Raw genomic sequence first — 23,796 nt, 5'->3', positions numbered from 1 at the left:
GCACAGAGACAGAAAGCGGGTGAGAGGCTGTCAGGGGCTGGGTGTGACTGCAAATTGGTGCAGGGCTTCTTTCTGGAGGGATGAAAATGTTCTCAAGATAGACAGTGGGGACGGTTATCCAACTCTGAATATACTGAAATCGACTCTCTATTTCAATAAAGCTGTTATAGAAGAATCACTAGAAGACATTGCTTTGACGGGGACACACTGGCCAGGCGGAGGCTCACGCCTACAGTCCCAGCACTCTGGGAAGCCAGGGTGGGAGGATCGCTTCAGCCCACAAGGTCGAAGCTGCAGTGAGCTATGACTGTACCACTGCACTCCAGCCTGGGCGACAGGGCAGGACCTATCTCTAAAAAAAAATTATTAAATTAAAATTAAAAAAGAAAGAAAGTGACACTGCAAATCCGCAAGTGCTGGGGCCAAGTTGGCAGCTGGCAGTGAGGACGCCCTGGATGCACCCAGGAAGACAAGCTGTTCCGGGAGGGCTTCCAAGAAGAAGCTTATTCCCAGAATCTGTGCCCAGTGGCACTAGAGACGAGTAACTACATGAAACCAACCCCCACACTAAAAGCGGCCCTGCAGATTCGAGCCACCCTTGCACAGAAGCACTAGGGGGCTGCTTTACCACCACGTGACAGAGTAACTCCATCTGGTACAGCAGCAAGGGCGGATTCTGAAGTCTCAATTACTAAAACTGAAATGAGATCAAGTCTCTTCTCTTCAGAATGAACAGGCAGCCCTAGTATGCTACACTGAGGGATTTCCTCTTCATGGTTCCTACACAGACGCCAAGAGTCACGAGCAAGACTGTCTGGGCTGTGCTCTTCCGGAGGCCCCTCCGCACAGCAGGCCCCTCCGCACAGCAGGCACCTCCCCATGGTACTCCCAGCAAGACCCTTCTGGTGGCGTCTCCTTGTCCGCTGTGAGATTCCCCAACACCAGGGCCTGGCCATCTGCAGAGTTAGTCCAGGAGTCGTCGGCAGAAGCAACAGCTTCCCACATACAAAGGCAGCCTGAGTCTCCCTTGCAGGGCCTCCCTGCCCCCTTGGCCAGGGTGCCAAGCAGGCTGGCCTGCGGCCCCTCTGGCCACATGCTGCTGGCCAACCCTGCCTGTATTTACTTCTTCCATGGCTAAAGCCAACTAAAAACCCACTGAATCTGAACAGTTCCCATGAAAAGGGGATGGGAGGAGGGGTGAGCTTCACTTACTGATCATCCTAAACTATCACACAAAGTTGCAAGAGTTACAGGAACGAGGACCACCAGAAGGAAAAATGTCTCCCTGGTAAAACAAAAACCACCACCAATACCTTCCTGCTGGAAACCCTAACACCAGCTAGGCGAAGGGGAGCCTCTGAGCTTCTGCCTTATAAACCCACACGTGACATGGGGACTGCTGGGGGCCAGAATGAATCAGAGCATCAACATGTGCATGGACTGGACTGCCCTGGAGCTCAGGCACGCGGAGGGCTGGGGCAGAGCTGTCCGGAGGCAGTGGAGAAAGGCGCCTTTCTAAGGTTGCAGAGGGCATCTCCACAAATCAAGCAATGGATCCGAGTCCGTTTTAGGTTACTTTTAGCCATTTCTTTTCTTTACCAACATTTTATTATGAGCGTTTTCAAACATGCAGAAACATTATGCACCCACACCTAGGTGCTGTAAATGGTCTGTTGTTTCTCCGTCCACCAATCCATTGATTTTGGGGTGCATTTAAAGCAAGCTGCAGATATGAGTCCACATTCCCACTAAACGCATCGCTGTGCGTGTCATGGACAGCAGCTCCTTGCGTTTATGTTTTGGGTTAATTTCTCCATGGTGAGATACATGAGTCTTACAGACGCCATGGACGAGCCCTGGAGGCTGCACCTGCCGTTGAGGCCCAACCCCCCTTGCCACTCCCACCCCAAGGATATCTCTACTACCCGTCATGCACACATTCATTGGGGTTGTACATTCTGATGCTACAAATCTTTTGATTCTAATCCCAGACCAGCTTTATTTGTGACTTTTAGGCCCCAAATGATATTAAATAAACCATTTTCTAACCGAATGGAATAGTGGTGACTTTCATTCTGAGGCACATGGGAAGGGAGCTGCTCGCCAGGGAGGAGGAGGTTGCATTTTAAGACCACGCCCTCCTCCCGGCCATGGTCTCAACCATCTCACTTAGCTGTAGTGTGAGGCTTCAAGATCGAGGCTCACTCCTTCCAAGGGCCACTGTACTATGCAGAGTCCAGCCTCTAACCCCAAGGACACTGTCCCCTCACTGGGGTCAGGGAGTGAAGGGAGAAGGTGGGAGCAAAAGCTACAACTGCTCTTCTAACTACTTAGGGCCAACATCCCACTGAGGCTGACCCCGAAAGTACCACCCTGCACTCTGCATTTTGGTGCAGAGGGTCACCAGAGTGACCCTCACTGCCCGGCTGCTACTGGCCCTGTCTGGGAGCTGCTGTAAGGCTCACCCAGGATTCTGTGTCCTGCACGCCCCAACTTCCCTGTCACCAGGCAGAGGCAGCTGGCAAAAAGCTCACACAGGGCCCAGGCTCTCCCAGGCCATGTGGACCAAGAAGCCGGAGCAAGGATGCTACCCTGACCTGCTCCACATTGCCCTGGCCGGCCTGCAGTCCCCTGGCGGGGGCGTGGGAAGTATAAAAAGACAAACTGCAAGTGCTGCCATTTTATTGTGTGAACGAGAGCTGGAAACCAGTGAAGAAATGAAATCTCACCCACCTGCCAGCCATTGACAATCTTCTGGTTAAAAATCCCAAATTCATAGCGGATTCCATAGCCGTATGCTGCCAGGCCCAAGGTAGCCATTGAGTCAAGGAAACACGCTGAAAAAATCAATCACAAATCAGTCAGAATCAAAGGCACGGCACCAAGGTCCCATGCGGAGGCAGCCCACAGGGCGCAAGGCAGAAATTCAGAGGGGATCACACTGACTTCAGGCTTCACTGAGAGGAAAACTGGAGCCCTCAGCCTCTCCATGAGAGCCTGGGGCCACAGGCAGAAGACATCAACGTGGTGGCTACTCGAAGGGCGTGGGAGGATGGGGGGGGATGAAGAATCCTAGAGAACTCGGCCAGGCCTGGAACCTCTCCAAGCACGAAGCCCCCCACTGCCCCACTCTCAGACATCCCAGTTGAGGCTGAGGCCTCGCCAATCCCTTGCACGTTCCACTGAAACCCAGGCTGTTCTGACAGCAGGGACACATCAACACATCAAGCCTCACCCTACTCCTGAGTGAAGCCGGCACAGCAGTGGCAGCTGGCTGCATACAAATCAATGTCCACCTGTGCAAACACCGCAGTACCAGGGGCCCCAAGGCGCTATAGCACGTGTCATTAAATCCAGCCCTTGTTCCAATCAAAACGTCTTGAAAGAAAAACAAAACAAAACAATGTTTTGAATAAAGATTTAGAGGCCAGGAGTGGTGGCTCACACCTGTGATCCCAGCACTTTGGGAAGCCGAGGTGGGAGGATCGCTTGAGTCCAGGAGTTTGAGACCAGCCTGGGCAACATAGTGAGACCCTGTCTCTATAAAAAATACAATTAGCTGTGCATAGTGACGCATGCCTGTGGTCCCAGCTACTCGGGAGGCTGGGGTTGGGGGATTGCTTGAGCCCAAGAGGTTGAGGCTGCAGTGAGCCAAGATTGTGCCAGTGCACTCCAGCCTGGGCACAGTGAGATGCAACCTTATTAAAACTTCAGGATTGGCTGGGCGTGGTGGCTCATGCCTGTAATCCCAACACTTTAGGAGGCTGAGGCGGGCAGATCACGAGGTCAGGAGATTGAGACCATCCTGGCTAATACGGTGAAACCCCGTCTCTACTAAAAATACAAAAAATTAGCCAGGCATGGTGGCGGGCACCTGTAGTCCCAGCTACTTGGGGAGGCTGAGGCAGGAGAATGGCGTGAAACCGGGAGGCGGAGCTTGCAGTGAGCCGAGATCACCCACTGCACTCCAGCCTGGCCGACGGAGTGAGACTCCATCTCAAAAAAAAAAAAAACAAAACAAAACAAAAAAAACTTCAGGATTAAAAAAATCAAAAAAACACCCACCTGGAACACTAGTAACTAAAATAAAATGCCCAATCCAGGGAACACACAGATGCCTGTCAGGCCCTCTGCTGAGGGAGAGGGATGATGGAGCCTCGCGGACTCTTGTTCTGGGGACTCGCCTGCAGCAGGGAAGCACATCAAGCCATGGCGGGCTCAGTGCTGCCTGGGTCTGTGGGTACAGGACCCTGTGGGCAGAAGGCAAAGGCTCTACTCATATCTGGCCATGGAGAAGGATGGAGGGAGAAGGCAAGGGGCAGGCAAGGTGACTGGGAAAGCCCAAGGACCTGGAACACCCCAAAAGGAAGCAGGTCTCGGGGCCGGGGAGGGAGCAGTCCACAGTCTCCAGCTTGGAGATGAGATGTGCGGTGAATGGCCACCCCTGGGGCTGTCAGGAGATGGGGACAAAAGAGGCTGGAGCTTCCCTTGAGCGTAGGAAGCCCAGTTTTGCATTTGATGAAAAGGGACCTCACAGGAAGACAGTGGTGACCCATCACATGTCACAAAGGCCGGGAGGTGGAGAGGGCTGAAGACCCTCAAAGCCCTGTTATTTCAAGGCAATCTGCTGACTGTATCAGAGTTGAAACTGCCTGCTGCAAGCAGGGCCACGTTCAGAAATCATCTTTCCATCCTTTGGGCTGTCTGCCAATCACTGGCTCTTGTGCCCTGGAAAGTGGTCAGCATATCGGGAGCCCCTCCCAGCACCAGCTTACTCCATGCTGGCAAGATTGGTCTTCGTGATAATGATGACACGTCCCTTGTGTGAAAGAAAACATACATTTTCCCCCTTTCCCCCCACTAGTGGCAAGATTTCAATCTGAAGAACACACTGGCCCATCCACTCAAAGCCAATTTACCCTGAGGCCAATTTACCTGACCCTGGCCTCACCACGTGGCCTCCAACCAAGCCAACGGGTCCGAGAGAGCTCCTCCTGGATGGGGCAACTTACCTGCCAGCCTCCCCAGGCCTCCATTCCCAAGGCCAGCATCTTCTTCTATCTCCTCGAGTTCCTCCAAGTCTAACCCCAACTGCAAACAAAAACACAGGCAGCATTTTAATGTTACTCAATATTTTCCCTTGAATGACAGGCTGAAAGATGTGTAAGTCTTGTGAGCTTATGCTAAAAGTTAGAGTCTGGGTTCTGTTAGACTTGAAAATTCAATGTTAAAATTTGATGTTAAATCAATGCATGGAAATGAAAGTTTCCAAATATTTCAAAAACATTTATTGCCAGGTAGTTAACCTATTAACAGTGAACAAATTATAACATGTATCCTAAAAATGAAACTAATGGTTCTGTCATTCTCTAATTTCACATGGGCGATATTTACGTGACATATTTTTAAACTAAAACCTAAAAGCACTTTTCCTGTGGTGATTCCAATTGTATTCAAACAATGTTGTGAAACAGATACGTTATGCTAAAAATTAGAGAAAAAGCAATAAAATCACGATTGACACTTAAAGCCATTCCAGAAGCCAAACTCAGTACTCTCATTATGGCATATGGATAAATATTCCATTAATCTGGCTTTAGTGCACGAACTTGACAAATTGCTCACATTACCTGGACTGGTAGACTTTAAACTTTTTGGTCTCAGAAGGATCCAAAGAGCTTTTGTTGATTTGAATTACATATATTGATATTTATCAAATTACAAATTAAAATGCAGACCTTTTTAAAGTATACATATGAATTCATTTAAAAATAATAAACCCAATACATGTTTATGAACATAAACAACAAAGTTTAATTAAAAAAAAAAAGGACATTTTTGAAACCAAAAAAATATCCATTGAGAAGAGTGGTAGTGTTTTAAATAACAACAGCAAAGTTACAAATGATTTAGTATACACTAAGTCAACTGAATGATATTGACACATACAGTAATTTGATTCAGGGTAAAATTTCAAATTACTGTGACTTGAACTTAATTCGTAAAGCAATTTCAAAGGGTACATTCCACCAACAATATTTTGGATATGGGGGGGGGGCGGGTGCTAGGATTTACTCAATAATGCATTACTGGCTCAAAGTTAAGAAATAAGTTTAACTACAACATAACCGACCAGAAAACTTCTAAGTTTATGGTCTAAACTTAACCAACCATAAAACCTCTTGTTCATAAAAAATCTATTAAATTCAAAAATCCATTAAATTTTTAAAAAATCTCTACATATTTTTCTAAAGATAGGCTACGAGTCAACATAATCAAAGATGTTTAGTTCCTTCCTGTTTTTAAATTGAGTGCCTACAGCACACTCTTCCTACCTAGGAGGGCAAATGTCACCTTGATTTTGTGAGCATTCGAGAAAGACATAAAAAGGCTGGGTGCGGTGGCTCAAGCCTGTCATCCCAACACTTTAGGAGGCCAAGGTGGGAGGATCGTTTGAGCTTAGAAGTTCAAGACCAGCCTGGGCAACATAATGAGATGTCTCTACTAAAAATAAAAAATAAATTAGCTGGGTACGGTGGTGCACGCCTACAGTCCCAGCTACTCGGGAGGCTGAGGCGGAAGGATGGCTTGAGCCCGGGAGGTTGAGGCTACAGTGAGCCGTGATCGTATCATTGCACTCCAGCCTGGGTGACAGAGCAAGACCCTGTCTCAACAACAACAACAATGACACAAAAAGTAGCTGACAAAGTCCAAAACTCTGCTGCAGTGGGCTTCTGAACTGAAGACAGAAAAAGAGCACTGCAGTACACCCAATAACCTTTATCTCTTTATTGAGATATAATTCATTAACCGTAAAATTCGCCTTTTAGAAGTGTATGTTCACAGAGTTGTGCAACCATCACCACTAATTCCAAACCATCATACCAAAAAGCAGCCCCGTGCCCATCAGCAGTCATAACCTATTTCCCCCACCTCTGTCAATCACTGATCTACTCTCCATCTCTATGGATCTACCTATTTTGGATATTTCATGGCTTCTTCCAATAAGCATGTTTTCAAGCTTCATCCATGTTGTGCCATGTGTCAGCCCTTCCCGTCTTTGTACTGCTGTGTACTATTCCATTGTATGGCTAGCCCACATTTTGTTTACCTACCCTATCAATTGATAAACATTTGGATGTTTCCACTTTTGGCTGTTATGAATAATGCTGCTGTGAAATTCATATACAGCTTTTCATGTAGACATATGTTTTCATTTCTCTGAGACCTGTACCGTGGAATGGAATTGCTAGGCTACATGAGAATTCTATGCTTAACTTTTTTAGTAACTAGCAGACTATTTTCCAAAGTGACTGCAAGATTTGACAGTCACACCAACTGCTCTATATCCTCACCAACACTTGTTCTCTGTGTTTATGATTATAGCCATTCTTGTGGGAATACAGCGGCGTCTCATTGTGGTTTTGATTTGCATTTCCCTCATAGCTAATCACATTTAGCATCTTTTTGTGCTATGTGGATATCATCTTTGGAGAAACATCCAAGTCTTTTTGTCCATTTTTCAATTGGGTTGTCTTTTTGTGGTTGTCAGAGTTCTTTACATATATTCTGGATACTAGACTCTTATCAGATTTAGGATTTATAAATATTTTCTCTCATTTTGTAGGTTGTCTTTATTTAATGCACAAAAGTTTTTAATTTTGATGAAGTCCAATGTATCTATTTTTTCTTTCGTTGCTTGGGTTTTTGGTGTCATATCTAAGAAATCATTCTAATCCAAGGTCATGAAGATTGATCCCTATATATTTTTCTAAAAGTTGTATTCTTTTAGCTCTTATATTTAGGTCTTTGAGCCATTTTGAGCTAATTTTTGTATGTAATGTGAGGTAGGGGTTCGATTTCATTTATTTGCATGTAGATATCCAAATATCCCAATACCATTTGTTGAAAAGACATCGTTCTCCACTGAATTGTTTTGGTACCTATTTCCTTTAAAAAAAAAAAAATCAATTGATCTATATGACACCAAACTTACAGGCAACAAAAGGAAAAATAGACAAACTAGACTTAATAAAATTAAAAACTTTTGTGAATCAAAAGATACTATCAGCCAGGCGCAGTGGCACACGCCTGAAATCCCAGCACTTTGGGAGGCCAAGGCAGGCAGATAACTTGAGGTCAGGAGTTTGAGAACAGCCTGACCAACATGGTGAAACCTCATCTTTATATATAGAGTAATATATACTATCAACACAGTAAAAAGACAAGCCATAGAATGGGAGAAAATATCCACAAATCACATATCTGATACGCTATTAATATCTAGGACAAATAGAGAATTCTTAAAATTCAACAACAAAAATCGGCCGGGCATGGTGGCTCACGCCTGTAATCCCAGCACTTTGGAAGGCCAAGGCGGGTGGATCACAAGGTCAGGAGATCAAGACCATCCTGGCTAACATGGTGAAACCCTGTCTCTACTAAAAATACAAAAAAATTAGCCGGGCGTGGTGGCAGGTGCCTGCAGTCCCAGCTACTCGGGAGACTGAGGTAAGAGAATGGTGTGAACCCGGGAGGTGAAGCCTGCAGTGAGCCGAGATCACGCCACTGCCCTCCAGCCTGGGCGACAGAGCAAGACTCCATTTCAAAAAAAAAAAAAAAAAAAATTCAACAACAAGAAAACAAACAACCTGATTTAAAATGAGTAAATGAATTGAATAGGCTTTTCTTCAAACAAGATATACAAATGGCCCACAAGCACGTGAAAAGATGCTCAGCATCATTAGTTATCAGGAACATGCAAATAAAAACTATAACATACCATTTTACACCCATTTAGAATGACTACTGTCAAAAAACAGAGAAGAAGCATTGGTGAGGATGTAGAGAAACTGGAACTCTTGTGTCCTTTTGGTAGGAATGTAAAATGGTGCTACTGCTGTGGCAAACATTTTGGTGGTTCCAAAAAAAAAATTAAGAATGGAACTGCCATATGATCCAGCAATTCCATTTCTAGGTATCTCAGCTTTCTACATATGGCTAGCCAGTTTTCCCAGCACCATTTATTAAATAGGGACTCCTTTCCCCATTGCTTGCTTTTGTCAGGTTTGTCAAAGATCAGATGGTTGTAGATGTGTGGTATTATTTCTGAGGGCTCTACTCTGTTCCATTGGTCTATATCTCTGTTTTGGTACCAGTACCATGCTGTTTTGGTTACTGTAGCCTTGTAGTATAGTTTGAAGTCAGGTAGCATGATGCCTCCAGCTTTCTTCTTTTGGCTTAGGATTGTCTTGGCGATGCGGGCTCTTTTTTGGTTCCATATGAACTTTAAAGTAGTTTTTTCCAGTTCTGTGAAGAAAGTCATTGGTAGCTTGATGGGGATGGCGTTGAATCTATAAATTACCTTGGGCAGTAGGACCATTTTCAAGATATTGATTCTTCCTATCCATGAGCATGGAATGTTCTTCCATTTGTTTGTGTCGTCCTTTATTTCCCTGAACAGTGGTTTGTAGTTCTCCTTGAAGAGGTCCTTCACATCCCTTGTAAGTTGGATTCCTAGGTATTTTATTCTCTTTGAAGCAATTGTGAATGGGAGTTCACTCATGATTTGGCCCTCTGTTTGTCTGTTTATTGGTGTATAGGAATGCTTGTGATTTTTGCACATTGATTTTGTATCCTGAGACTTTGCTGAAGTTGCTTATCAGCTTAAGGAGATTTGGGGCTGAGATGATGGGGTTTTCTAAATATACAAATATGTCATCAGCAAACAGGGACAATTTGACTTCCTCTTTTCCTCACTGAATACCCTTTATTTCTTTCTCCTGCCTGAATGCCCTGGCCCGAACTTCCAACACTATGTTGAATAGGAGTAGTGAGAGAGGGCATCCGTCTTCTGCCAGTTTTCAAAGGGGATGCTTGCAGTTTTTGCCCATTCACTATGATATTGGCTGTGGGTATGTCATAAATAGCTCTTATTATTTTGAGATATGTTCCATCAATACCTAGTTTATTGAGAGTTTTTGGCATGAAGTGCTGTTGAATTTTGTTGAAGGCCTTTTCTGCATCAATTGAGATAATCATATGGTTTGTCTTTGATTCTGTTTATATGATGGATTACGTTTGTTGATTTGCATATGTTGAACCAGCCTTGCATCCCAGGGATGAACCCCACTTGATCATGGTGGATAAGCTTTTTGATGTGCTGCTGGATTTGGTTTGCCAGTATTTTACTATGATTTTTGCATCAATGTTCATCAGGGATATTGGTCTAAAATTCTCTTTTTTGGTTGTCTCTGCCAGGCTTTGGTATCAGGATGATGCTGGACTCATAAAATGAGTTAGGGAGGATTCTCTCTTTTTCTATTGATTGGAATAGTTTCAGAAGGAATGGTAGCAGCTCCTCCTTGTACCTCTGGTAGAATTCAGCTGTGAATCCCTCTGGTCCTGGACTTTTTTTGGTTGCTAGGCTATTAATTATTGCCTCAATTTCAAAGCCTGTTATTGGTCTATTCAGGAATTCAACTTCTTCCTGGTTTAGTCTTGGGAGGGTGTATGTGTCCAGGAATTTATCCATTTCCTCTAGATTTTCTAGTTTATTTGCATAGAGGTGTTTATAGTATTCTCTGATGGTAGTTTGTATTTCTGTGGCATCAGTGGTGACATCCCCTTTATCATATTTTATTGCATCTATTTGATTCTTCTCTCTTTTCCTCTTTATTAGTCTTGCTACCGGTCTATCAATTTTGTTGATCTTTTCAAAAAACCAGCTCCTGGAGTCTTCGATTTTTTTAAGAGTTTTTTGTGTCTCTATCTCCTTCAGTTCTGCTCTTAGTTACTATTTCTTGCCTTCTGCTAGCTTTTGAATGTTTGCTCTTGCTTCTCTAGTTCTTTTGTGATTATTCAGGAGCAGGTTGTTCAGTTTCCATGTAGTTGTGTGGTTTTGAGTGAGTGTCTTAATCCTGAGTTCTAGTTTGATTGCACTGTGGTCTGAGAGACAGTTTGTTATAATTTCTGTTCTTTTACATTTGCTGAGGAGTGCTTTACTTCCAACTATGTGGTCAATTTTGGAATAAGTGCGATGTGGTGCTGAGAAGAATGTATATTTTGTTGATTTGGGGTGGAGAGTTCTGTAGATATCTATTAGGTCCGCTTGGTGCAGAGCTGAGTTCAATTCCTGGGTATCCTTGTTAACTTTCTGTCTCGTTGATCTGTCTAATGTTGACAGTGGGGTGTTAAAGTCTCCCATTATTATTGTGTGGGAGTCTAAGTCTCTTTGTAGGTCTCTAAGGACTTGCTTTATGAATCTGGGTGCTCCTGTATTGGGTGCATATGTATTTAGAATAGTTAGCTCTTCTTGTTGAATTGATCCCTTTACCATTAAGTAATGGCCTTCTTTGTCTCTTTTGATCTTTGTTGGTTTAAAGTCTGTTTTATCAGAGACTAGGATTGCAACCCCTGCTTTTTTTTGTTTTCCATTTGCTTGGTAGATCTTCCTCCATCCCTTTATTTTGAGCCTATGTGTGTCTCCGCATGTGAGATGGGTCTCCTGAATACAGCACACTGATGGGTCTTGACTCTTTATCCAGTCAAGTCAAAATGGAGCATTTTGCCCATTTACATTTAAGGTTAATATTGTTATATGTGAATTTGATCCTGTCATTATGATGTTAGCTGGTTATTCTGCCCGGTAGCTGATACAGTTTCTTCCTAGCTTTGATGGTCTTTACAATTTGGCATGTTTTTGCAGTGGCTGGTACCGGCTGTTCCTTTCCATGTTTAGTGCTTCCTTCAGGAGCTCTTTTAGAGCAGGCCTGGTGGTGACAAAATCTCTCAGCATTTGCTGGTCTGTAAAGGATTTTATTTCTCCTTCACTTATGAAGCTTAGTTTGGCTGGATATGAAATTCTGGGTTGAAAATTCTTTTCTTTAAGAATGCTGAACATTGGCCCCCACTCTCTTCTGGCTTGCAGTTTCTGCGAAGAGATCCGCTGTTAATCTGATGGGCTTCCCTTTGCGGGTAATCCAACCTTTCTCTCTGGTTGCCCTTAACATTTTCTCCTTCATTTCAACTTTGGTGAATCTGACAATTATGAGCCTTGGAGTTGCTCTTCTCGAGGAGTATCTTTGTGGCGTTTTCTGTATTTCCTGTATTTGAGTGTTGGCCTGCCTTGCTAGGTTGGGGAAGTTCTCCTGGATAATATCCTGAAGAGTGTTTTCCAACTTGGTGCCATTCTCCCCATCACTTTCAGATACATCAATCAGCCGTAGATTGGTCTCTTCACATAGTCCCATATTTCTTGGAGGCTTTGTTCATTTCTTTTTACTCTGTTTTCTCTGAACTTCTCTTCTCACTTCATGTCATTCATTTGATCTTCAATCACTGATACCCTTTTTTCCAGTTGATCGAATTGGCTACTGAAGCTTGTGCATGCATCATGTAGTTCTCGTGCCATGGTTTTCAGCTCCGTCAGGTCATTTAAGGACTTCTCTGCACTGGTTATTCTAGTTAGCCATTCGTCTAATCTTTTTTCAAGGTTTTTAGCTTCTTTGTGATGGGTTCGATCATCCTCCTTTAGCTCGGAGAAGTTTGATCGTCTGAAGCCTTCTCCTCTCAACTCATCAAAGTCATCCTCCGTCCAGCTTTGTTCTATTGCTGGCGAGGAGCTGCGTTCCTTTGGAGGAGAAGAGGCACTCTGATTTTTAGAATTTTCAGCTTTTCTGCTCTGGTTTCTCCCCATCTTTGTGGTTTTATCTACCTTTGGTCTTTGATGATGGTGACGTACAGACGGGGTTTTGGTGTGGATGTCCTTTCTGTTTGTTAGTTTTCCTTCTAACAGTCAGGACCTTCAGCTGCAGGTCTGCTGGAGTTTGCTGGAGGTCCACTCCAGACCCTGTTTGCCTGGGTATCACCAGCAGAGGCTGCAGAACAGTGAATACTGCAGAACAGCAAACGTTGCTGCCTGATCGTTCCTCTGGAAGCTTCGTCTCAGAGGGGCACCCGGCTGTGTGAGGTGTCAGTCGGCCCCTACTGGGAGGTGCCTCCCAGTTAGGTAGGCTACTCGGGGGTCAGGGACCCACTTGTGGAAGCAGTCTGTCCATTCTCAGATCTCAAACTCTGTACTGGGAGAAACACTACTCTCTTCAAAGATGTCACACAGAGACATTTGTCTGCAGAAGTTTCTGCTGCCTTTTGTTCAGCTATGCCCTGCCCCCAGAGGTGGAGTCTACAGAGGCAGGCAGGCCTACTTGAGCTGTGGTGGGCTCCACCCAGTTCAAGCTTCCCGGCTGCTCTGTTTACCTACTCAAGCCTCAGCAATGGCGGACGCCCCTCCCCAAGCCTCACTGCCGCCTTGCAGTTCAATCTCATACTGTTGTGCTAGCAATGAGTGAGGCTCCGTGGGCGTGGGACCCTCTGAGCCTGGTGCGGGATATAATTTCCTCGTGTGCCGTTTGCTAAGACCGTTGGAAAAGTGGAATATTAGGGTGGGAGTGATCTGATTCTCCAGGTGCCATTGGTCACAGCTTCCCTTGGCTAGGAAAGGGAATTCCCTGATCCCTTGTGCTTCCCGGGTGAGGCAATGCCTCGCCCTGCTTTAGCTCATGCTCTCACGCTCGGTGGGCTACACCCACAGTCCGACAAGCCCCAGTGAGATGAACCCAGTACCTCAGTTGGAAATGCAGAAATCACCCATCTTCTGCATCACTCACGCTGAGAGCTGTAGACTGGAGCTGTTCCTATTCAGCCATCTTGGAACCTCCCATCAAGTATACAAAGTTTAAAAGGATACATGCTTGCCCGCAATTTCTAAATTTTTATAATTAACATTCATTTTCTGTGAATAAAAATTAGAAACATATTGCATGTTTATGAGGCAAACTATTCCCTAAAATTTTTACTATATGTAAGAACTGCAGAAAGTGTTTCAAAAAAGAAAATGCATTCTATAATGGTAAAATCCAAAGACAAGACTAAGATATTACATGTTCTGTACTTCTTACAGACATGCCCTAATGTTAACACTCAGTAAACAGACGTAAATGACAAGTCACCTGCCAGGGTAACCTTTAGCACCATTAGCTAATTTCGAACATGCGGAGTGAAGTTTTTGTTGCATTTTGTTGAGCACAGACACTGCTATGAGGTCCTGCAGGGGGAGACGGAGCCCCAGGCAATGTTGAGCCGCCTCCCAGCCATGCAAGACATTTGCCCCCAACAAAACACCCCCACTCCTCCCACACACATCCAAACCCAAGCAAAGCAAAGGCGGTGGCAGGGCGCTGAGGTGGAGGGGCCCCACCATGAAGGCACCCATCTATGCGCAGGTAAAAGGTTATACTCTAGAGACTCAGCTGGGAAGGGAAGCGAAGACAGACCAAAAAGCCAATGGCTGCTCTGCTCTAAAACCACAAAGGAACTGTGAAAGGATTAAGTTCAAAGTGAACAAGTGCTAATGAAGAACTCTCAAGAAAAGGCAGGTTTTGTTTTTAGGGGAGAAATAGTGCTTTTACAACTAGACAACTAGGGTGAGCTCCGGAGGTCATCTCAGGGGTGGAGGGAGGGAAACCAGACATGGGTTAGCAGTTTGATGAAGTCAAAATGGAATAATACCAACCACTGGTGCAGTGCTCTAAATCCGCCCCGGAGGTGGGGTGGGGTGTGGGATGGCCTCTAGAACCTCCACACCTTCGCATCCCAATTCAACCCCACGCTTGCGGTCCGTTCGATTCTTACTTTCTACTCTCAAAAACAGAGAGCAGCCCCGCCAACCCATTCCTTCCAGGAGGGGAGAACAGGCCGTAAATCTCCCGATTCCCAGATAGCTGCTAGTCTTAACATCAGGGCTCACCTCTGTGGGAAAATGGATTCAGACCTCAAAGCACCACGAGGGGCCACCCAGAAGCCCGGCCATGAGGCTCTGTACCTGATAGATGGCTTCATCGCAGGCATTCTGAAGGCCCAGGTTCACCATCGTGTTCTGCAGCGTGCGACCCATGTAGAATTCCAGGGAAAGATAATAAATGCGCTGAGGAAGCAGAAGAAAGAATAAGATTTCTCATTCCATTCTACACTTTAGGAAGGTTACAGAGATGACACGACCCATGAAGCCAAGCCCCCACTCGGGATTTCATTTATGTCAACCCCATGCACAAAAACTGGGCTTGCTCTGTCAGGCAGCCTGCTGACCGCAGCCCCCAAAAGCAGCCCACCCAGGAGACCCCTCCTCAACACGGCCTTCTCTTCCCTGACCCTCCAGTCCCTGGATGAACACACACTAACTTTCCATGATGTGTGGGGAGGCAGGGCAGGTTGGTGGTTGGGGCCAAGGCACCCAGAACTGGACAGACCCAGGTCTGCACTTAGCTCAGCCTCTTACCAGCCATGTGCCCTTGGGCAAGTTACTTCACATCTCTAACACAGATGTAACACAGGCCATGTCTTCAAGTACTCAATGGAAAGCCCTGAGCACAACTTCTAGCACCCACGTGAAGCACCAATGAACGCAGCACAGACGGCTGAATGGATGCATCCATGTTCCCCAGCAGAAGTCTCTTGGCTGATGCCTGCTGGCTGGCTGGCTTGGGGTTGCCACATGAGCCAGCTCTATGCCAGTGAGGTGCTGTATCAAGGACGGCCACCCATGCAGTGCCTCCTGGGCCCTGAGCGGGGTTCTAGGTGCCCTACTTTCTCTACCGAGTACTTCTCATGGCCATCCACGGGCCTGCAGCGGCCAGGGCTGAATGCTAAGATCAGTGGGCACAACTCCAAGGACTAACAGGATATGTGCACAGCCAACATCTCCCCTGAAATATTTACTAATTGCTTTGGTGGTTTTAACCAGGGGCCAAACACTTTCTGATATTCTTCACTCCAGGAGGAGGAGCTTACTTCCCTGTCTGCCACCTTGAGGGTGGGGTGGATGTAGCGACACCCTGCTGAGGAGCACAGAAAGGAAACGGCAGCAACTTGACAGTGGAGATAGCTGACCACGCTGACCGGCACCATGTAGTGATTCCCTGGAATTCTACATGGGTCGTCGGTGAGGTCCATAAAGTTTTTAATACATAACTTAAGAATACTCTATAAATACCTAAATCTACAAATTGAAAGAACACACACACACAAATGATAGCTCTGTCTTCAATGGCCTGTTTTTACTTTTTTGATCATTTGAATATAGGCTTCTACATTACTGTATAAATTCCAAAGTCCTTTACGTCACAGGAATTACAGCAGCATAATTAATGAGTCCTCATAGCCGCTATAAGTACAACTACTGCTGCTGTCACTCACAGTCAGGCCTCTTGTGGACTTTCATCATGCTGGATTTTATTTACACTACATTTGAACGAACTTAATATTCTATGGGGTTTCCATAGCACCTGCCTCCCCCCTCTGGCAGAGGAAGCCACAGGCACTGTCCAGGCAGGGTTTATTAACCAGTGCGAAATCATACTGAGCCCAACTAGACCCTGGCTATCTGAGAAAATACTGTGGGTCAAGTATTAACAAGAGGTTTTATAAAAAGCTGACAGGCCAGGAACATGACCAGAATGTTTTTACTTTGCCTTTAACTAAAAATGTATATTTTTTTTTAAGAGATGACGGTCTCACTATGTTGCCCAGGCTGGCTGCAAACTCCTGGCCTCAAGTGATCCTCGCGTCTCAGCCTCCCAAGCAGCTGGCACTACAGGTGCATGCCACCACACCTGGCTAAAATGTGGATTTTTAGGTTGTAGTTTGCTCTCTCTGCAAAAGTTCCTAACTTCTACTTAGAACTTTTCTACTGTGGGGAAAAAGTTTACCAGTTATGTCCCAAGAGCTTGATTATCTCTGTTTGTAAGGGACAGGACTGACACGGGAAGTGCTGGGCCTAGACTCGAAGCCTGTGCGTCTCCAATTGTCCAGGTTGCATGCAGACATCGAGGGTTCTGCAGCCTCCTGCTGAAGCACAGCCCCCAAGGCACTGCCCAGGGCCTGCCGGGCCACAGGCTCTGTCCTTGGGGACTGCAATGTGTTTTGCTGCTTTGAGGTTTTTCTGCAACTTGTTTCAATTTAAGAACTTTCATCATTTGCTGAGATGTGTCTATTTTGCTTTTACCTTAATATGGTTCAGAGTGAAAACCATGAAACTGAAAAGAGGCTTGCTGGAGGAGCTGGCCAAGAAAATGCAGACTTGAATGGTACAGGCTGGGGTCTCATCCCAGCTCCCTGCCCTGGCTAGCTGGGTGACCTGGGCAAGTCACTCAGCCTCTGAGAGGACCACATTCACCTGTGGGCTCGCACAGGGCTAGGCTAGGACTCAGGCAAGGCTGGTTCCCCTCACCATACCAGACTTTTCAAGGAGAAATGCAAAGCCTAGAAAGTTGCCAAGTGGCAGTTCTGAAAAAAACCATGTAAAGGCATAGGCTTTGTCCAAGCAACAGCCTAGGGACCTAGCTCTTCCATGACCCCAAATCCTGCTGCTGCAGGACAGCCTCTTTCCACTCACTCCCCTCTGGCTCCTCTTGTGCAACCATGAACAGGGCTTCCCTGCTCAGGGAGCGCTGGTTGGAGAACTGGACTCACCTGCTTCAGCCTGAAAATGCCAACACGATCCCTTAACCTCCCTGCTCAGCAGCTCTGCTCTAAGGAGGCCCTGCCGCCTGGGATTGAACTGGGCCATTGATCTTTCTACCATGGTCCCTTCTTGCAATATGACATAACAAGTGTTAAGTAGCCTAAAGCCAGCCTGTTTTTTGTTTTTGTTTTTGTTTTTTTTTTTTTGAGACAGAGTTTCGCTCTGTTGCCCAGGCTGGAATGCAATGGTGCAATCTTGGCTCACTGCAACCTCCACCTCCTGGGTTCAAGCCAGGCCCTCCACTTTTTTTTTTTTAACAGAGTTTATCACATGCAAAGCCTACACAACCAGGCAAATAATAGAAAAACATAAAGCTCAAAAATAGATGAAAATATGATCAACACGAACAGTACACCAAATACCAATCACCTAAAGACACCTTAGGAGTTAACAGACTCTGAAAAGAGAGTGTAACACCAACTGGCAGAGCCTCATTTTGTTCTTTACAGACAGAGATTCACAGAATTGGGCCTGTGGAGACCACCAATTTTTTCTCCCTTTTCTGAAGGGATTTTTAACTAGAGTCTTCATTTAACGTTAGTGTCTTAATACTCTGGTGGAAAAAGAAAGAACTTTCCCAACATTCAGGGAAACAAAAGAAAGAGCTGGAGCCAGGTGTGATGGCTCATGCCTATAATCCCAGCACTTTGGGAGGCTGAGGCAGGTATATCACTTGAGGTCAGGAGCTCAAGACCAGCCTGGCCAACATGATGAAACCCCGTCTCTACTAAAAATACAAAACTAGCTGGGCGTGGTGGTGCACACCTGTAATCCCACCTATTCGGAAGGCTGAGGCAGGAGAATCGCCTGAACCCGGGAGGCGGAGGTTGCAGTGAGTAGAGATCGCGCCACTGCACTCCAGCCTGGGCAACAAGAGCAAAACTCCACCTCAAAAAAAAAAAAAAGAGTTGGGCGGCTGCTTTCACCAAGATGAAGAGCCTCATTCTACAGGCAGATCTGGTCTGAAACCGGTCCCCTCCTGTCCCCAGGAAAGCACAGCAACTCTCCTTTTGTGTATTCGATTCTGTCGGTGCCAGCATGCCTCAGACCAGCCGCCCTCTACTGGTTCCTACATGGGCACAGAGTGACTCACAGGGCAGAGTGTCCCTCCCTGCCACCCAGGCACTATGGACAGAGCTGGCCCTGATAAGACACAGGAACACAGGCCACTGAGCCAGCCAGAGGCCAGTGGGCACCACGTTCCACCAGCCAGGCCTTGGAGCGGGGGCTCCCAGCCCCTCCAGACACAAAGGGGCCACCTCCCTGGGCTGGACCTGCTGGCTCCTGCTGGTGAGCTGAGCAGTCTCAGATACCATCCAGGGGAACCGAGGTCCTGTGGGAGGAGAGATGTTGAGGGGCCTCCCACCTGCCAGACGCTGAGGTTGGTCTTTGGTTTCCTTGACAGTGTCACAGTGTCCACTCCACTGTGTCTGAGGGGGCTTCTGGGGAGTTGCTCACAGAGCAATCTGATAATCCACTACTGTATCTGCTGTAAGGATGTGAGGATTAGCTAGCACATCTCTCAAGCTCCCAGCCTGTGATGTCACACGGTACTTTCTTAATGAATTAACTGCCAGGGAAACTTGGCTTCCCATGAACAGTGGGCAGGCTTCTCAACGTGGATCGTGGATTTCCTTCTCACTCCAGTACCTACGACTCAAACACAGGTCTGTTTGCTCAATTTTGAAAATGTCAAATGTAAAAGAATTATAGAACTTTAGAACTTATGGGGATCTTAAGAGATCACTTGGTTCTGTAGTAAACAAATTCCTTCTACACTCCATGACACACATTGCCACAAGTCACTGTCTCCCGCCTTCTATGCAATTAAGCTCCACAAAAAGTCTATTCAGTACTAATCCAGAGCCAGAAAGCGATGGGAGCCTTCTCCTTATCACTGACAGAGCCTAATCAACTTACACTAAGTGATCTGGACCGTGTCAAACTATATTTATACCTAGTGAGCTACCAGTCATCGTTTTTAAACACTACTTTAATCTTTCATTTTAACTGTTTGTAGGCCGAGAAATGCCACTTACCTATACCTAAAATTACATGTCATTCCTACTCAAGGTACTGTTGAAGACACTGTTAACCGAACTTCTCTTACTGTCCAATTACCTTTCTAAATCTGTGTTCACTTCTCTTCCCTTCACCGTATCCTAAGAATGCCATTCTGCATGGGTGAGAAAAAGCCAGCTCCTATCTCCTGCGGTTATTTGCTGCATGTCTTAGGATGCTTTGAATTTCCAAATGGCTTAAAGCTTTGATCCGTTTAATAATAATAATAATAAAAGATATAATCTGAAAAGACTTCTAAAGTTCTCCCAATTATTTATTTGTATTTTTTACAATTGTATTATTGCATTTTATTTGTATTTATTAAGCAGGACAGCTGGTGACACTGAAAAGATTTGCAGACAACAGCACTGTGTTGATTAAAATGTCCAGAGTTTAACTGCTCTACTGTGGGTGTGTAGGAGAGCTTCCCTGTTTTTCCGGAGTACTCACTGCCGTTTTTGGGGGTGAAGGGGCAACAAGGCTATGACTCAGTTTTTTTTTTTTTTTTTGAGACAGAGTCTCGCTCCGTTGCCCAGGCTGGAATGCAGTGGCGTGATCTCAGCTCACTGCAACCTGCTCCTCCCAGGTTCAAGCAATCCTCCTGCCTCAGTCCCCCAAGTACCTGGGACTACAGGCGCCCACCACCATGCCTGGCTAATTTTTGTATTTTTAGTAAAGAAGGGGTTTCACCTTGTTGGTCAGGCTGGTTCTTACTTTCAAATGATTCGGAGAAAAATGAACTTACAGCGACAAAATGACCTAACAAGTGTGTTGCAATGTTTAACATCTGGGGAATCCGGATGAAGCGTCAACAGGAATTACAAGAAATCTCTGTATTATTCTTGCAACTTTTTAAGGGTCTGAAATCACATAAAGTTTAAAAGGAAATATGGCTGAGATGTGGAGGTGAGGTCGGTTACCTTATTTTATTTTATTTTATTTTATTTTATTTTATTTAGGCAGAGTTGCCCAGGCTGGAGTGCAATGGCGCAGTCTTGGCTCCCTGGTTCAAGCAATTCTCCTGTCTCAGCCTCCCGAATAGCTGGGACTGCAGATGTCCACCACCACGCCCGGCTAATTTTTGTATTTTTAATAGAGACCAGGTTTCACCATATTGGTCAGGCTGGTCTCGAACTTTTGACCTCAGGTGATCCACCTGCCTCAGCCTCCCAAAGTGCTGGGATTACAGGTGTGAGTCACCACGCCCGGCCATATTTTATAAAGCCACCACGGCCCCTGTGGATTAGTCAGGGTTCTCCAGAGACACAGAACAGTAAGGTATGTGTAGAGAGAGACAGATTTAAGAAATTGGCTCAAGTGATTCTGAAGTGCAAGGCCACAACCTACAGAGTGGGGTGGGCCAGCAGGCTGGAGACCCAGGCAAGCTGCAGCTCTGGTGCAAGGTAGCTGGTGGCAGGGTTTGTTCTGCAAGGCCTTCCCCCATGGGAGGCTGTGAAACTGTGATGTAATGAGATATACTTATTTGTTCTTCCTGGCCTGTGCTCCTAACACCCTTGTAATTTCCTAAGTGATAAGAGCAATAAAAATGAAAGAAGTGTCTTTTGTTATTCATAACAAGTCCCTTTCAACCACGCCTGATGTGGTCACCAAAAGGTGACTTTTGGCAAGCCCCTCAGGGCAGAGGCTGGCTGCCAGGGGAACCAGCTCTAATTAGAGGGTTGGAAGTTTCAGGCCCACCCCTCCCGCCAGCCCCAACCTCCAGTGAAGGGAGAGGGGCTAAAGGCTGAGCTCATCACCAATGGCCAATAATCACACTAGGTAACTGCGGCCTCCATAAAATCCCCAACTGAAGGGGATGGAAGAGCTTCCTTCCAGTTCAGTGAATCCTGGAGGTGCTGGGACAGTGGCACCTGCAGAGGGAATGGAAGCCCCTGCACCCTCCCTCAGACCTGCCCTCTGCATATCTTCTATCTGGCTGTTCCTGGGTTGTATTCCTTGTAAGTAATTGGTAAACGCAAGTGAAGTGTTTCCCTGAGTTTCATGAGCCATTCTGGCAAATCATCAAACCTGAGGAGGCTGTCGGTCAGAGGTCAGAAGGGAGGTCCTGATGTGCAACTGACATCTGGGGTGGAGAAGTCTTGTGGGACTGAGCCTTTAGCCTGTGGGATCCGAGGCTACATCTAGGTAGACAGCATCAGAACGGAACTGAATTGTAAGATGCTCAGTCAGTGTGGGAAACACCACCCCCCGACCCCCCCAGAGGGACATCCACGTTACTATCTAGGCACAACAGCCAAGTTGACACATAAAACCAGCCACCACAGCCTGCAAGGGCAGAGGCCAGGCTGTCTTCTGCAGAAAATGAAGGCACACACTGTAGGCTTCTCCATCTGCTAAAATGACAGCTGAGGCCTACCTTCCAAGTGGCTAGCTGTCAGCAACACAAAACAGCACCCACCATCAGCTACTGGTCAGAGAAAATGACTTTGAGCGATCTGCTGTCAGGGAAGCCTGCCCAGGAGATGCAAGCTCAACTTCACACATAAAAGTGGAAATACATCAGAAAAATTGGGAGTGTTAGGATTCCGGAGGCTGGTACCACAACTGACTAATTAAAACAAATCCCAGAAGTGGGGATCACAGAGCAGAAGGGTCTGCAAAACACTTCTCTAGATCATCTTCTTTAACTCCTGGGTCCAGCCAAACCAAAAGATTAATCGTATTTCATTGTGTTTATCTCATTAGGAATATTTAGGACAGCAGTGTGGGCCCCAAGGTAGAGCTGCTTTTCCTTAATCTGTGTTGTAGTCATGCCAGGAGCTTATGGGAAGAGTCTCAAAAACTGATTGTTACATCCACTGCAGGGGTGCTGCAGGTCAGTGGCTCAGCACATCGACAACACAGCTTCACAAAGGCCCACAGAATAAACCGTGCAACTGTCCTTTCAGGATGTTATAGAAGGGATCCCGTGACTCTCATAACTGGGCATGGGCTGCTTTCACTGCCAGGATCCTGGTCTGTGTTTTGTGTCCTGACCCTCACTGTCCCACCCCAACCCTCACTCTGAGGCCTTCTAATGTGAACCTTTTGTGCTGTATCTAGCATAAGCATCCTCAAATTCTCTCTGGATAGAGATGGAATGTCAATTCAATATGAAATAGAAACATTTTAACTCTAACATTTCAGAATGGCAACAGACTTCGGAAACATCACCAGCTTGATTCCCCTCATTTTAAAGATGAGAAAACTGAGGCCAATAATGGCAAAGAAATCCGCCCAAGCCCACAGTTGCACAGACCGAATGGAAAGGCCAGGATGAAAAGGAGCGTGGAATCACGCACACCCTTTCTTCTCCATGCAGCGCAATCCCAGGCTCTGCAGCTTCAGGTTGGACTCTCCTTGCCACCTTGCCACCACTTCAGAGAATCCATTAAATGTCTTCATGACCAACCGCCACCTCTTGCCAAGCACAAAGCTCTCCATGTTAGCCAGATGTTTTGACGTGCTGATTTGCCAAGCATGGCAAAGCTTGACAAATCTTCCTCTGAACACCCCAACTTCTACTCTTTCGCTATGTACCACAAATAAAGTGCTAAGAGTTATGAAACAATAGGTTCAGTATAATGTTATTTTATGTATTAAAAACAAGTTTCTGCCAATACGGAAAAAACAATGTAGAACACAAAATATTTACAGCACAAAGTGGGCGATAGAAGTGGGTTACAGGATTACAGTTAATTTTTTTCCTTCTGGCTTATCTATATTTTCTAATTTTTCCTCCAGTAATAATTTTTCCTTCAGGACTTGCATAATTTAAAAAAAGACAAAAATAACAATAAAAGCGTTCTATTTAGGAGCTCTAGAGTGTCACATTACCACAGTCTGCAGTGTGCCGGTGAATGTCTGAGGTCATTTCTGGCTGAGGGGGAGGCACAGCAGTTATTTTCTTGGGAGCACACCTCCTCTCATTGGCTCTGGTGGGACTGGTTGCTGGTCCATCACCAGCAAGCATGTAACTTTTCCAAAGAAAGGATTGCAAGCTTATTTTCATCATGAATTAGCGAAAGAAGCAGTTAAATCCCAATTTTCCATGTCCTTCCTATTCAGAATAGGCACACAGCTTATTTACACACTGTGAGATCTAAAAGTTTACAACTTTACGACTTACAGACTGTGCGGTTTAAGAGAAAGGTTTC

General features: G+C 45.9%; 1 protein-coding gene across 2 annotated transcripts in view; it reads right to left on the bottom strand.

The window, feature by feature from the left end:
• PYGB (glycogen phosphorylase B) overlaps positions 1-23,796 on the bottom strand; it is a 49,928-nt gene that overhangs the window by 23,793 nt on the left and 2,339 nt on the right. For both annotated transcript variants that reach the window (NM_002862.4, XM_047440342.1), the window contains exons 2-4: positions 14,882-14,983; positions 5,013-5,091; positions 2,734-2,837 (exon numbers count right to left, since the gene is read on the bottom strand). In NM_002862.4, the coding sequence (NP_002853.2) occupies positions 2,734-2,837; positions 5,013-5,091; positions 14,882-14,983 (285 nt within the window). The remainder of the gene's footprint in view (positions 1-2,733; positions 2,838-5,012; positions 5,092-14,881; positions 14,984-23,796) is intronic.

This window comes from Homo sapiens, chromosome 20 (genome assembly GCF_000001405.40).
Source record: "Homo sapiens chromosome 20, GRCh38.p14 Primary Assembly".
NCBI classification, from domain to species: domain Eukaryota; kingdom Metazoa; phylum Chordata; class Mammalia; order Primates; family Hominidae; genus Homo; species Homo sapiens.
Note: the sequence above shows the minus strand (reverse complement) of the source record. Positions and strands in the feature narration are given on the sequence as shown.